The 13636-nt window shown below is 37.4% G+C and overlaps 1 protein-coding gene across 9 annotated transcripts in view; it reads left to right on the plus strand.

Annotated features, from left to right (window-relative positions):
* The window catches only part of ARID4A (AT-rich interaction domain 4A), a 75322-nt gene that overhangs the window by 57601 nt on the left and 4085 nt on the right, over nucleotides 1-13636 (plus strand). For 5 of the 9 annotated variants that reach the window (XM_005267964.3, XM_047431652.1, XM_047431653.1 and 2 more), the window contains 6 exons: nucleotides 2977-3061; nucleotides 4746-4947; nucleotides 8015-9145; nucleotides 9363-9467; nucleotides 9869-10075; nucleotides 10728-10874. In XM_005267964.3, the coding sequence (XP_005268021.1) occupies nucleotides 2977-3061; nucleotides 4746-4947; nucleotides 8015-9145; nucleotides 9363-9467; nucleotides 9869-10075; nucleotides 10728-10874 (1877 nt within the window). The remainder of the gene's footprint in view (nucleotides 1-2976; nucleotides 3062-4745; nucleotides 4948-8014; nucleotides 9146-9362; nucleotides 9468-9868; nucleotides 10076-10727; nucleotides 10875-13636) is intronic. The other 4 variants (NM_002892.4, NM_023000.3, XM_005267965.3 and 1 more) reach the window with 4 other exon arrangements.

Genomic DNA, 13636 nt, shown 5'->3' on the forward strand with positions numbered 1-13636 from the left:
CTTTGTTAGCAATATTAGTGCTAGAAGTACCTACATGATATATTGCTTTGTCCAGTGTCGCCAGGACCAAGTACACTAAAAATCAGGCCTGTGCTTCTTGGTTGTCTGATACCTCCTATGGAATTGGATAGAGTTATCCCTTTGTTAGCCCTGGATCAGGTACATATTGCACTTACCAGACTATACTTGATTTTACTATATGTCTATCTTTTATAACAGATTATGGGTTGCATGAGAGCATTGGCCATGTTTATTCTCTACATACTTCCTGATACAGTGCATACTAGTAGGCCCTCAGTAAATGTTCAAATGAATAAACATTTCCATATAAGTTAATAAAGTACAGATGTTTAAAAGCCTAATATGATGCTCATAGCCAGTCTCGTTTTAGAAACTAGATACTGGGTTAATGAGTGAGAGATAGTTTTCAAATCATAGTACAGGCAGTTCCTAACTTATAGTGGTTCAACTTCAATTTTTTTTTTAAATTTAAAATGGTTCAAAAGCTATATGCATTCAGAAGCCATGGAATTTTGAATTTTGATTTTTTTTTTTTTTTTTTTTTAAGACGGAGTCTTGCTCTGTCGCCAGGCTGGAGTGCAGTGGTGCGATCTGGGCTCACTGCAACCTCCGCCTCCTGGGTTCAAGCGATTCTCCTGCCTCAGCCTCCCAAGTAGCTGGGACTACAGACGCACGCCACCATGCCCAGCTAATTTTTGTATTTTTAGTAGAGACAGGGTTTCACCATGTTGGCCAGGATGGTCTCGATTTCTTGACCTTGTGATCGCCCGCCTCGGCCTCCCAAAGTGTTGGGATTACAGGCGTGAGCCACTGCGCCCGGCCTAAATTTGGATTTTTTTTCCTGGTCTAGCGATATGCAGTATGATACTCTCTCATCAGACTGTGCAGCCACAACAAACAGCTAAGAAATCATGAGACTAATCAACCAGTACTGTACAGTGTATTCAATAAATTACATGAGATATTTAAGACTTTATTATAGAATAGACTTTGTGTTAGTTGATTTTGCTCAACTCTAGGCTAATATGAGTGTTCTGAGCATGTTTAAGGTAGGCTAAGCTAAGCTGTGATGTTCAGTAGGCTAGATGTATTAAATGCATTTTTCGACAGGATATTTTCAATTTGTGATGAGTTTATCAGGACATAATGGCATCATAAGTAAAGGAGCATCTGTATAGGTAGTCATGGTACCATGTCAACTGAAATACATGCATAAAGGAACCATGTCCTTACTTTGTACATCTCCATGGTAACTGGCTTATAAAGCAAGAATATGGTTTCCAGATACATGAGTTTCTATTAATACGCTACAGTCTAAAACAAGTTTGTCCAACCTGTGGCCCACAAGCCATATGCAGCCCAGCATGGCCTGGAATGTGGCCCAACACAAATTCATAAACTTTCTTAAAACATGAGTTTTTTTTATTTTTTTGCATGGTTTTTTTTTTTTTTTTTAGCTCATCAGCTATCGTTAGTGTTATTTTATGTGTGGCCCAAGACAATTCTTCTTCCATTGTGGCCCAGAGAAGCCAAAAGATTGGACATTCCTGGTCTAAAGCAAGGACTGCCTGTTGTTTCTTTACTTAACTGTACATTTTTTAGATTTTGACTTAATTCTGTAAATACTTGTATATTTAGATAATGTAAAAACTGTTATTTAGTTCTAGAAACCTTAATTTCTTATTTGCCCCTGATTAGTCACTTGGACTATAGACAATCAAAAGTGATAGTAATCATTTGAGAAGGCCAGGTGCAATGGCTCATGCCTGTAATCCTAGCACTTTGGGAGGCTGAGGTGGGCAGATCACTTGAGCTCCGGAATTCAAGACCAGCCTGGGCAACATGGCAAAACCCGTCTCTATAAAAAATACAAAAATTAGCTTGGTGCAATGGTGTACATCCGTGGTCTCAGCTACTCAGGAGGCTGAGGTGGGAGGATCATCTGAGCCCAGGAGATCATGCCTCTGCACTCCATCCTGGGCAACAGAGTGAGACCCTCTCTAAAAAAATTGCCGGGTCCAGTGGCTCACCCCTATAATCCCAGCACTTTGGGAGACTGAGGTGAGCAGGTCACCTGAGGTCAGGAGTTCGAGACCAGCATGGCCAACATGGCGAAACCCCGTCTCTACGAAAAATAAAAAATTAGCGGGGTGTGGTGGCAGGCACCTGTAATCCCAGATATTGGGAGGCTGAGGCATGAGAATCACTTGAACCCAGGAGGCAGAGGTTCCATTGAGCCGAGATGGCACCACTGCATGTCAGCCTGGGTGACAACATTGAAACTAGCCCCCCAAAAATAAAAATAAAATTTAAAATAAATTTTAAAATAAATTTTTAAGTAAATGTTTAGGGGAAATGAGTTTTCAACTTAAGCTAAACAGAATAAACTTAGATAAAGTAGGTGAAATACAGATATCTCTAAAAAATTTCAGAATCCTAAAGGCAATGTAGTTCAGAAGATTTTATTGGAAATACTAGAGAGAGTGTTGAGGAGGAAAAGGAAGTTGAAATGGACTTGATAAAATAACTTGATAAAATAACCTGAAACTGATCACCTTGCAAATTTGAATTTATCTGACTTAGCTTTCTATTATTCATTCAATAGCACGAATTCTATTGCAGATCTGATTATAAGCTCAGGTCTGTAAAAGCTGTGGAAAACAAAACAGTTCAGATTGTCTTGAATCTAGAGTTTGCTTTCCAAGACTCTCCCTCTAAACCTGTTAACTCTTAAGAAATCCTCTTGCCTTTCCCTAGTGAGTATACAAAATACCTACTACAGTTACTGGCACATGTTACCAGCAAACCAGCCCCTGTGCCCTTCATATTCTTGCCAACACTAAGAACAAACTATTTAATCTGTCTCACTGTTGTTTTCGTTTGGTGAATACATTTCAAAAAGGTTATAATGTATAAAGTTTGTACAAACTCTTTTTTTTTTTTTTTTTTTTTAAGGTATGATGAGTGGGTGAAGGCTGACAGGATAATCTGGCCTTTGGACAAAGGTGGACCAAAGAAAAAACAGAAGAAAAAAGCTAAAGTATGTTTGTAGATTTATGTCCTTTATAATATGTATAGGAATTATCCAAATTGTATTGTGTGTTTTTTAAGACTTTAAGAACAGTTTTAGGTTTATACCAAGATTGAGAGCAAGGTATATAGACCTCCCATATACTCTCTGCCCCATGCATGCATAGCCTTCCCAGATTGTCAACATCCCCCACCAGAGTGGGATGTTTGTTACAACTGATGTGCCTACATTGACACATTATTGTCACTCAGAGTCCATCGTTTACATTAGGGTTCACTGTTGGTGTTGTATATTCTGTAGGTTTTGACAAATATATAATGACATGGATCCATCACTATAGTATCATACAGAGTAGCTTTACTGCCCTAAAAATCCTTTATGTTCTGCTTATTCTTACCCCCACCCCAGCCCCTGACAACTACAGACTTTTTCTCTCTCCATAGTTTTTGCCTTTTTGAGAATATCATATAATTGGAATCATACACCATATAGCCTTTTTAGATTGGCTTCTTTTGCTTAGTAATATGCATATACGATATTGTGTTTGTTTAATAAATCTTATTGTAATAATCATCTTGGCCGGGCATGGTGGCTCATGCCTGTAATGCCAGCACTTTGGGAGGCTGAGGCGGGCGGATCACGAGGTCAGGAGATCAAGACCATCCTGGCTAACACGGTGAAACCCCATCTCTACTAAATATAGAAAAAATTAGCCGGTCGTGGTGGCCGGCGCCTGTAGTCCCAGCTACTCGGGAGGCTGAGGCAGGAGAATGGCGTGAACCCAGGAGGCGGAGCTTGCAGTGAGCCAAGATCGCGCCACTGCGCTCCAGCCTGGGCGACAGAGCAAGACTCCGTCTCAAAAAAAAAAAAAAAAATCTTGATTCTTGACAGATAATTGTGATTTTCTCTTTATAACCCAGGAGCTTAAAACTAACACATTACCACATTGTTTCAGCAAAGGTGAAAACCAGCAACCCCTAGGGCATGACTTTCAAACTCAAATTCCTGTAGAGGCTTTATAGGAGAAGGATAAAGTAGGACGAACCGTGACAAACGAGAGGTCACATTCCTCATTTAGACGGAATGGAACTAACCACTCTGCTGTGGGAATGCAGACCCAGGGTTGCCAGATTTTAGGATTTTTCAAGACCACTATCTTTCTTAAAATGTGAAATTTGACTTTTAAATGCTAGAAGCCAATACTAAAATTTTAAAACACATATATACTGGCCAATTGTACCCTCACCCACATCCTCAGTTGTCAAGCTTTGCTGTAGAGATTTGCCCATTGTTTTGTCTACTGGATGATAGATATCTTTCCTTTCTGCAGGGGATAGTAGGGAACAGCGGGGAGTGCGGAATAGTTGTATAGTCTTCTAAAGCTCTAACTGACCATCACAATATAATTGCAGTATTACAAATTGTACAATATTGTATTTACATAAATACAAAATATGTTAGAAATTCAGCAGTGGAGGATTATATACCAATTTCCGTGACACTAATGTTAATAAGTTCTGATAACCTCTCAGACCAGCCAGAAAACTCTTCTTGATTCTTCTGTAAGCACAGACTAGGAAGTGACATATAAAATATCAAACCTTTTTTGAGATGTAGTTTTCTTTGGATAAGTAGAATGTTCATTTTTCGTAAAGCATTGGCCCTTCTCATACATTTTGTTGTTGTTGCCCAGAATAAAGAAGATAGTGAAAAGGACGAAAAGAGAGATGAGGAGAGGCAGAAGTCAAAACGGGGACGACCTCCTTTAAAATCAACCCTCTCATCAAACATGCCGTATGGCTTATCTAAGACAGCAAACAGTGAAGGAAAATCAGGTACCAGAAGTGCTCGCAGCAATATACCAGACAGCTCACCTCTGTCAAATGGAATGGAAGGTGCTCAATTTTGAGGATGGCTGACTTTAAAAAAAATCAATAACATAAATAATAAAACTTCCATTGTGTGAAATATTCACAGTACAGGTTGAGTATCCCTTGCCCAAAATGCTTGGGACTAGAAGTGTTTTTGGTTTTTGATTTTTTTTTTTTAATATTGCATATACATAATGAGATATCCTAGGGATAGGACCCAAGTCTAAACATGAAAATTAGTGTTTCTTATACACATAGCCTGAAAGTAATTTTATACCATATTTTTAATAGTTTTGTTCATGAAATAAAGATTGTGTTATTTGAACCATCAGAAATCACAGGTATAATTGTCTCAGCCACCCATGTGAACAGTCTGTGATTGTTTGGCATCACTGTTATTCTTGACTCTGAATTTATATGCCAGCTACTGATAAGCAATTTTCTTACACTTATTCACACATAATTACATAACAGTAAAACATATGACTTACAATTAATACAGTGGAAAAATTGTGTGGGGAAACTAAGCAGCAAGGTAGCATCACTAGAATACCTGTATCAGCTGCTAAACAACAGCAAAAACAAACAGCAGGCTTTCAGTCTCCACCTACGATGCTGTGTTTTCATTAAAAGGTTACCCGTACACTAGCTTGGGGTTGCTGAAGAAACTGTTGTGCACCTGTGTTTGGATGCAATGTGTCCCATGAGGTCAGGTCTGGAATTTTTTACTTGTGGTGTCATGTTGGTGCCCAAAAAGTTGTGGAATTTGCAGCATTTTGGATTTCAGGTTTTTGGACTAGGGGTGTTCAACCTGTAAATCACCTAGGATTTTAATCTCATATGATTTAAACTATAAAATTTGATTTGAAGAAAATATTTTGCTGTATCATTTTTATCTAAAATTTAGTGATGTTTTCATTTAGGAATACTTTTTCTCATAAGTATCTTGAAAATAATATATTTTAATAGAAGGTGAATTGACAATCCATGCATCCTAATGTGTGCTACACTTTCCCTCAAAGCCTGTACCAGTGTATCCTATAAATTCAATGCTGTTCATCTGGGATCTTTCAGCAAAGCTGAGACCATGTGGTTCTAAGAGAACACAGACTACTGTGGTGCAGGCATGTTTTATAATGAGTATAGGTGAACATATTTTATTCTGCTTGTACTCGTTTCCCCCACTTTTCTACCTCTGTATACTTTTAAATGTAATTAAGAAATTTTAGGCTGAGTGCAGTGGTTCATGCCTGTAATCCCAGCACCTTGGGAGGCTGAGGCAAAAGGATCACTTGAGCCCAGGAGTTCCAGACCAGCCAGGGCAACATAGTGAGACCCCATCTTTACAAAAAAATTTAAAAATTAGCCAGGCATGGTGGTGTGCACCTGTGGTCCCAGCTACTCAGGAGGCTGAGGTGGGAGGATTGCTTGAGTCTGGGAGGTCAAGGCTGCAGCAAGTGTAATCACATCACTGCACTCCAGCCTGGGTAGCAGAGCAAGACCCCACCTCACTCTGTTGCCCAGGCTGGAGTATAGTGGCGCAATCTCAGCTCCCTGCAACCTCCACCTCCTGGGTTCAAGCAGTTTTCCCACCTCAGTCTCCCAAGTAGCTGGGACCACAGGTGTGCACCACCATACCTGGCTAATTTTTGTATTTTTAGCAGCAATAGGGTTTTACTATGTTAGCCACGCTGGTCTCGCACTCTTGACCTCAAGTGATGTACCCGCCTCAGCGTCCTGAAGTGCTGGAATTACAGGTGTGAGCCACTGTGCCCGGCCACCAAAAAAGAAATTTTAAATGGTTGTCTTATATAAAAATTTCTCTTCTTTCAAGAAAAAAGCTATACTGAACTACATGTTTGCTATTAGTCCATATGGTGCTTGTGTGCAAATTATAAAAGGACATCCTTCCTCTTTACTGCCATCTGCTGACAAATGTTTAAGATGTCCACAAAGTGAAAGGTACCCTCTTAGAAGGCATACCTGTGTGCAGTGTCCAGTCTATACAACTACATACCAGCCTTATTAAACTACCACTGAAAGGGATTTTTTAAAACATGAAAATGAATTCTACATTCTGTTTATGATAAAACCACAAAATAAAACTGTATACACCTTTTCACTAAAAAATTCATGTTTGCAGTTTTGAACTTCTTGAGGATTTGAGCACCATGTGGACAATATTTTTATATTTTTTAGATCCTATACAGTCTTAGAACCCTACTTTACTATTTTACAAGTTCCCTTACAGGGAACAATTTTTGTTTCCTGTACTTTCTTGTCTGTTAAGAATATTTAAAGTTTTGAGGATTCCAATTGCCCATTTTAAAAACTTTTCTTGCTGGGCACGGTGGCTCATGCCTATAATCCCAGCACTTTGGGAGGCTGAGGTGGGCGGATCACTTGAGGTCAGGAGTTTGAGACCAGCCTGGCCAACATAGCAAAACCCCATCTCTACTAAAATACAAAAATTAGCCGGGCGTGGTGGCCTGCGCCTATCCCAGCTCCTCAGGAGGCTGAGGCAGGAGAAATGCTTGAATCCAGGAGGCGGAGCTTGCAGTGAGCTGAGATCACGCCACTGCACTCTAGCCTGGGCAACCAAGTGAGACTATGTCTCAAAAAAAAAAGAAAAGAAAAGAAAAAACCTTTTCTTTCCACAGTTATTTTAAGTAGAATGTCATATTCCTTTCTTAGGGTACAAAATGCCCATCATCTGTCCTTCCTAGATACTATCTCAAACCACTTAACAAATTAACTTCATGTCTAGGATGTCTAGGTACTAATCTTTTGATCTTTTTTAAGGACTATTGTACCTAAATATGATACTGGGGAATGTTGCAAAATAGCTTTTCATATAGATTTGAGTTAGTAATATGCAACGTAATATATTTTTGCTTGGAGCTTAGTTTCCCCTCCCCCTCAAATTCTTGGCACAAATGTTATGATTTGTTTTATTTCAGAAATTTCTACAGGGAGGTATTCAGAGGTACATGATTAAAGATTTTTATTGTTATTTTTGGTAAGATTTTTATTGTAAAATTACATTGGTAATATAAAAACCTGTATAATATAATAATATTTCCTCTTACAGACTCTTGTTCATCTGATAGTGAAACAGAAGATGCTTTAGAAAAGAATTTAATAAATGAAGAACTTTCTCTTAAAGATGAACTAGAAAAAAATGAAAATTTGAATGATGATAAGCTAGATGAAGAAAATCCAAAGATTTCTGCACATATATTAAAAGAAAATGATAGGACTCAAATGCAGCCTTTAGAAACCCTGAAGTTAGAAGTTGGAGAGAATGAACAAATAGTACAGATTTTTGGGAACAAAATGGAAAAAACAGAAGAAGTTAAGAAAGAAGCCGAAAAATCTCCAAAAGGAAAGGGAAGACGAAGCAAGACAAAAGATCTTTCTTTAGAAATTATAAAGATTTCATCATTTGGCCAGAATGAAGCAGGAAGTGAACCTCATATAGAAGCTCATAGTCTTGAATTGTCTTCATTAGACAATAAAAACTTTTCTTCTGCTACAGAAGATGAAATTGACCAATGTGTGAAAGAAAAGAAGTTGAAACGGAAAATACTAGGACAATCATCGCCAGAGAAAAAAATAAGAATTGAGAATGGAATGGAAATGACAAATACTGTATCTCAAGAAAGGACCAGTGATTGTATTGGATCTGAGGGAATGAAAAACTTAAATTTTGAACAGCACTTTGAAAGAGAAAATGAAGGAATGCCATCATTGATAGCAGAGTCAAACCAATGCATCCAACAACTGACTAGTGAAAGATTTGATAGTCCAGCTGAAGAAACTGTAAATATTCCACTAAAAGAAGATGAGGATGCAATGCCTCTGATCGGGCCTGAAACCTTGGTTTGCCATGAAGTAGATTTGGATGATTTGGATGAAAAGGATAAGACCAGCATTGAGGATGTAGCAGTTGAAAGCTCTGAGTCTAACTCTCTTGTTTCTATTCCACCTGCCCTACCTCCTGTAGTCCAACATAACTTTTCAGTAGCTTCACCACTTACTCTTAGTCAAGATGAGTCTCGAAGCGTAAAAAGTGAGAGTGATATAACGATTGAAGTTGATAGTATTGCTGAAGAATCTCAAGAAGGTCTCTGTGAGAGGGAATCGGCAAATGGATTTGAAACTAATGTTGCCTCTGGTACCTGTAGTATAATTGTACAAGAGAGAGAGAGCAGAGAGAAGGGTAAGGACTTTCTAGGGAAAAGTAAGTGTTTATATGAAACCAAAAATCAAAACTGTTGAGTTTCAGGTACTGTTGATCTGTAAAGTACTTTCTTTTTCTTTTCTCTCTTCTTTTCTTATTAAAAAGAAAGAAATGTCAGTGTAGTCTGTTGAATAATATACTTGCTCTTTTTTTTTTTTTTTTTTTTTTCAACATTCTCTCTTTCCCCTTATTTCAGGTCAGAAGAGGCCAAGTGATGGAAATAGTGGATTAATGGCAAAAAAGCAAAAGCGTACCCCAAAGCGAACAAGTGCTGCAGCCAAAAATGAAAAGAATGGAACAGGTTGGTGTCTTTCAATGCTAGCTTTTGTATAGTGTTAGTATTTTTAGCAGTTTGTTGGCTTGTTTTAAACATAAATGGAGCAATACTATATTGTTTTATAACTGCATTTTCATTTAACAGTATTATACTAGATATTTTGCCATTTTTATTCTTAGGAACTCTAGCTCATTCTTTTTAACAACTTTAGGAAAGTATTCAATAGTTTATCATTTTTAACCATTTCCCCGTTGGTGAGCATTTAGGTTTTTTTGTTTTTTTGTTGTTTTTATATTGTTATAAACTTTGTGCATTTGTGCACTTATTTCTGTAGGATACCAAGAAATGTAATTGTTAGGTCTGTTGCATTTTGATATTTAAGAATTTTATTTATAATCTGAGTCAATCTTTTTTATTATTTATAGGACAAAGCAGTGATAGTGAAGATCTTCCTGTCCTAGACAATTCAAGTAAATGTACCCCAGTAAAGCATCTTAATGTATCTAAGCCACAGAAACTTGCACGATCTCCTGCAAGAATATCCCCGCACATCAAAGATGGAGAGAAAGATAAACACAGAGAAAAACATCCGAATTCATCCCCTAGGACATATAAATGGAGCTTTCAGCTCAGTAAGAAGCTTATAGAAAACTTGATAGATGAATACTGTAAAGTGGAATAGATCTTAAAATATCAACTTGGATTAATGTTAATAAAATAAGGAATAATGATTAACTATTTAGATATTCCAAATATTGCCTTAGCAAGAATCACCACATGTTGTCTTAAGTATAAATCTGTGTCTTTTCATAAAACTGACTTGATAAATATTGACTTACAGGAAGGTCTCCATTAAGAAGCCATGTATGATTTATATAAATCAGTGAAATTGAAGTGCCCTTTGTAGCACTAACAATTAGAAATAGCCAGTAGTTATTTCTATTATGTAACTAGTAGTAGTGAAGAAAATGTCAATACAGGGAAACTATTCTGATAACTATAATTATAGATAGGTCAGGGTTAGTTTGTGTTGATGTTTTCTTATGTTTTTCTGATCATTTAAGTAATAAATGTTTAGTATAGAAAATTTGGGATCTAAAAATAATTCTTAATCATGAATTTAATTCACGACTTCCTTGTTTTCAGTCTTATTCAGCTTACTGTAGGAGATTTTAATAAACTAAAGCTTTTGTTGATTTATGAGTTAGACGTTTGATAGAATTGTCATCATTTTTCTCACAGAATTATTTTAAAATCCAAATTAACTTCTTTCCCCCCTTTTAGATGAATTAGATAATATGAACAGTACAGAGAGAATCTCATTTCTCCAAGAAAAACTACAGGAAATCAGAAAATATTATATGTCTTTGAAGTCTGAAGTTGCAACCATAGACAGGAGGAGAAAAAGATTAAAAAAGAAAGACAGGGAAGGTAATTTTATTATGATTTTTCTCCCCTTATATTTCAAAACTATATCCTATCATTTTAGAAGATTTAAATTTGATACTCTTTGAATATAGTACACATTCATTAATTGCTGTTTTTAAATTCCTAGTGTTTTCTATTGTTGAAATGAGTAGGTCAGCAACTGAGTTAATCAGAATGACACCCTTAAAAGGGAGTATGAACTGTTTTCCAAAATGGGTGATTGTACTAAATGTGATGGATTCTCAGGTAGAGCATAGTCCTTCTGAAATTCACTCTTTGCTCAAACATTTATTGGCATCTATTAACAGGCACTGTATTTGTTATGGGGTTCACCAAAATGAATGAGACATAAGGCTTATTCTCAAGGAGATTATCTTGTTGGGATTATAAATCATTTCCTAAGCAACTAAAATATAAGATAGTGCAGCTCAGCAACTTTAAAGAGCACATGCCATGTGCCAGGCACTCTGCCAGGTGGCGGAAGTACAGAAATGAGTTAGATACAGACTTTCTTCTCAAAGATCTTAACATCTAGTGGAACAGTGTGTACCCTGAGAATGATATTAACGAGTACAAGAGTTAGTGGAAGGAGAGGTTACTTTGGAGTAGTCAGAGAGAGGGAGTAGTGTCTGAGCTAGCCCTTCGGGGGTTGTAGGATTGACTTCCAGTTAAACATGAACATGTCCATCTACAGTCCATCCCTAAGCCCTGCTAAAATAACAGTAAAGGAAATTAAAAGCCCTAAACTCAAAAGGACAAGAGAATGACCACAACAGACAAGAAATGTCAACAGTATATCTTTTGGAAGCTGCATAACAGATGGACTACTGTAACTGTCCCAGCAGATGAGATAATGCTGAAACTAAGCTTGCTTGTCCTTGTAGTGGGACAAAACAACAAGAAGCAAGCCAATTAATACCATGTAACCCCAGAAAAGCTTTCAGAAGGGATATGGGACGATGCTGAAAAATGGGATTGGTTGAAAATGGAAAGAGAAATTGGATCTCTTCTTCCCATCTGTGAAGCAAGTCTACCTCACCCCCAACTCAAGCAGAAAATAGATTAACTTAAAAGAGAATGAGGAAATCAGTAGGCCTGTAGACTTGGGGGCACCAGCCACAGCTGAGGGTAATGATTAAGTGCTAAACCAAAATAATGGATGGAGTGAAAGTTTGCATACTGAATAGTTAGATTGCTGTCCCTCTTCTAACTCAAGGCCTAATCCTCTTGGCTTCCTGAAAGCTGGCAGCCAAGCTTATGCTTATTCCTGGGAGGAGATTGGAAGATTCTTCTAAAGAAAATGACCAGCCCAAGAAAAATTACCTACTATTTGGATGTTCCTGAAACAAAAATCAAGATCCTTGCCAATCACTACATGTGCATTTTCTGTATTTAAAAGCCCTGATGCTCATATACAGCTTTCAGTCAGCTTTTTAATGTTAAATATGGAAGCCACATGACCAGACATTTGAGGAAAGCCCCTACATAAAGGCAGAAGCCAAAGTAGAAAAAGGAGAATAAAAAGGAACTGGAAGAAAAAAAACAGATAATGTACCATATTAAAAAAAAAATAGGACAAAACTATTCTTAATAGTTAATCCAAGTTGAGTATCCTTTATTTGAAATGCTTGGGTCTAGAAGTGTTTGGGTTTTTTATTTTTTTCAGATTTTGGAATATTTGTACATAATGAAATATCTTGGTGATGGGACCCAAGTCTAAACACAAAATTCATTTATGTTTCATAGACACTTTATACACATAGCCTGAAGGTAATTTTATATAAATAATTTTGTGCATGAAACAAAGTTTGTGGTAAGTGCTTATGTGTGGAATTTTCCACTTGTGGCACCACGTTGGTGCTCAAAAGTTTCAGATTTTGGATTTTTGGATTAGGGATGTTCAATTTGTATCCAGAGATAAAGGGAAAGAGATTGCCACCTTGAAACAAAAGCATAATAACTATTTTAAAAATTCAGAGAACAAGAAGGATATCTTTAAAATATGATAGCAGGAATTTAAAAAAAATAATAAGGCAGTGAAGCTGAAGAAATTCCACTAGAGGGTCAAAAAGACAATAGGAGAGAAGAAATAAGAGAAATATGGAATCTGGCGAGGAGATCCAACTTCTGAATCATAGGATTTCTAGAAGGAGAGTTGAATAAACAAGAGGAAGTTGTCATCAAAGATATTTTTAAAATTCTAGAACTGAAGGATATGAGTTAGAAAAGGACTCACTGTGCCCTCTATAAATAATGGGGGTGAAAATCACCAAAGCATATGAAATTTCAGAATCCTGTGGATAAAGAGTAGATTCTAGGCCTGGCACAGCGGCTCACGCCTGTAATCCCAGCATTTTGGGAGGCAGAGGCAGGCAGATCACTGGAGGCCAGGAGTTTAAGACCAACCTGGCCAACATGACAAAACCCTGTCTCTACTAAAACTACAAAAGTCAGCTGCGCATGGTGGCAGATGCCTGTAATCCCAGCCACTCAGGAGGCTGAGGCTTGAGGATCACTTGAACCCGGAAGTGAGCACCGAGATCGCGCCAGTGCACTCCAGCCTGGGTGACAGAGTGAGAGTCTGTCTCAAAAAAAAAAAAAAAAAAGTAGATTCTAAAAATTTACCATATAAAGATACATATATAAAAAGAAATGGATCTCAGAACAGCATCAAGAGTCTTACATCCGATTTCTCAATGGTAGTACTAGAAACTAGAAGCCAAGCTAAGAAGACATGGGACTGGCAAACAAGGAATCCTACATAG

The sequence above is a fragment of the Homo sapiens genome, chromosome 14 (assembly GCF_000001405.40).
Source record: "Homo sapiens chromosome 14, GRCh38.p14 Primary Assembly".
Taxonomy (NCBI): domain Eukaryota; kingdom Metazoa; phylum Chordata; class Mammalia; order Primates; family Hominidae; genus Homo; species Homo sapiens.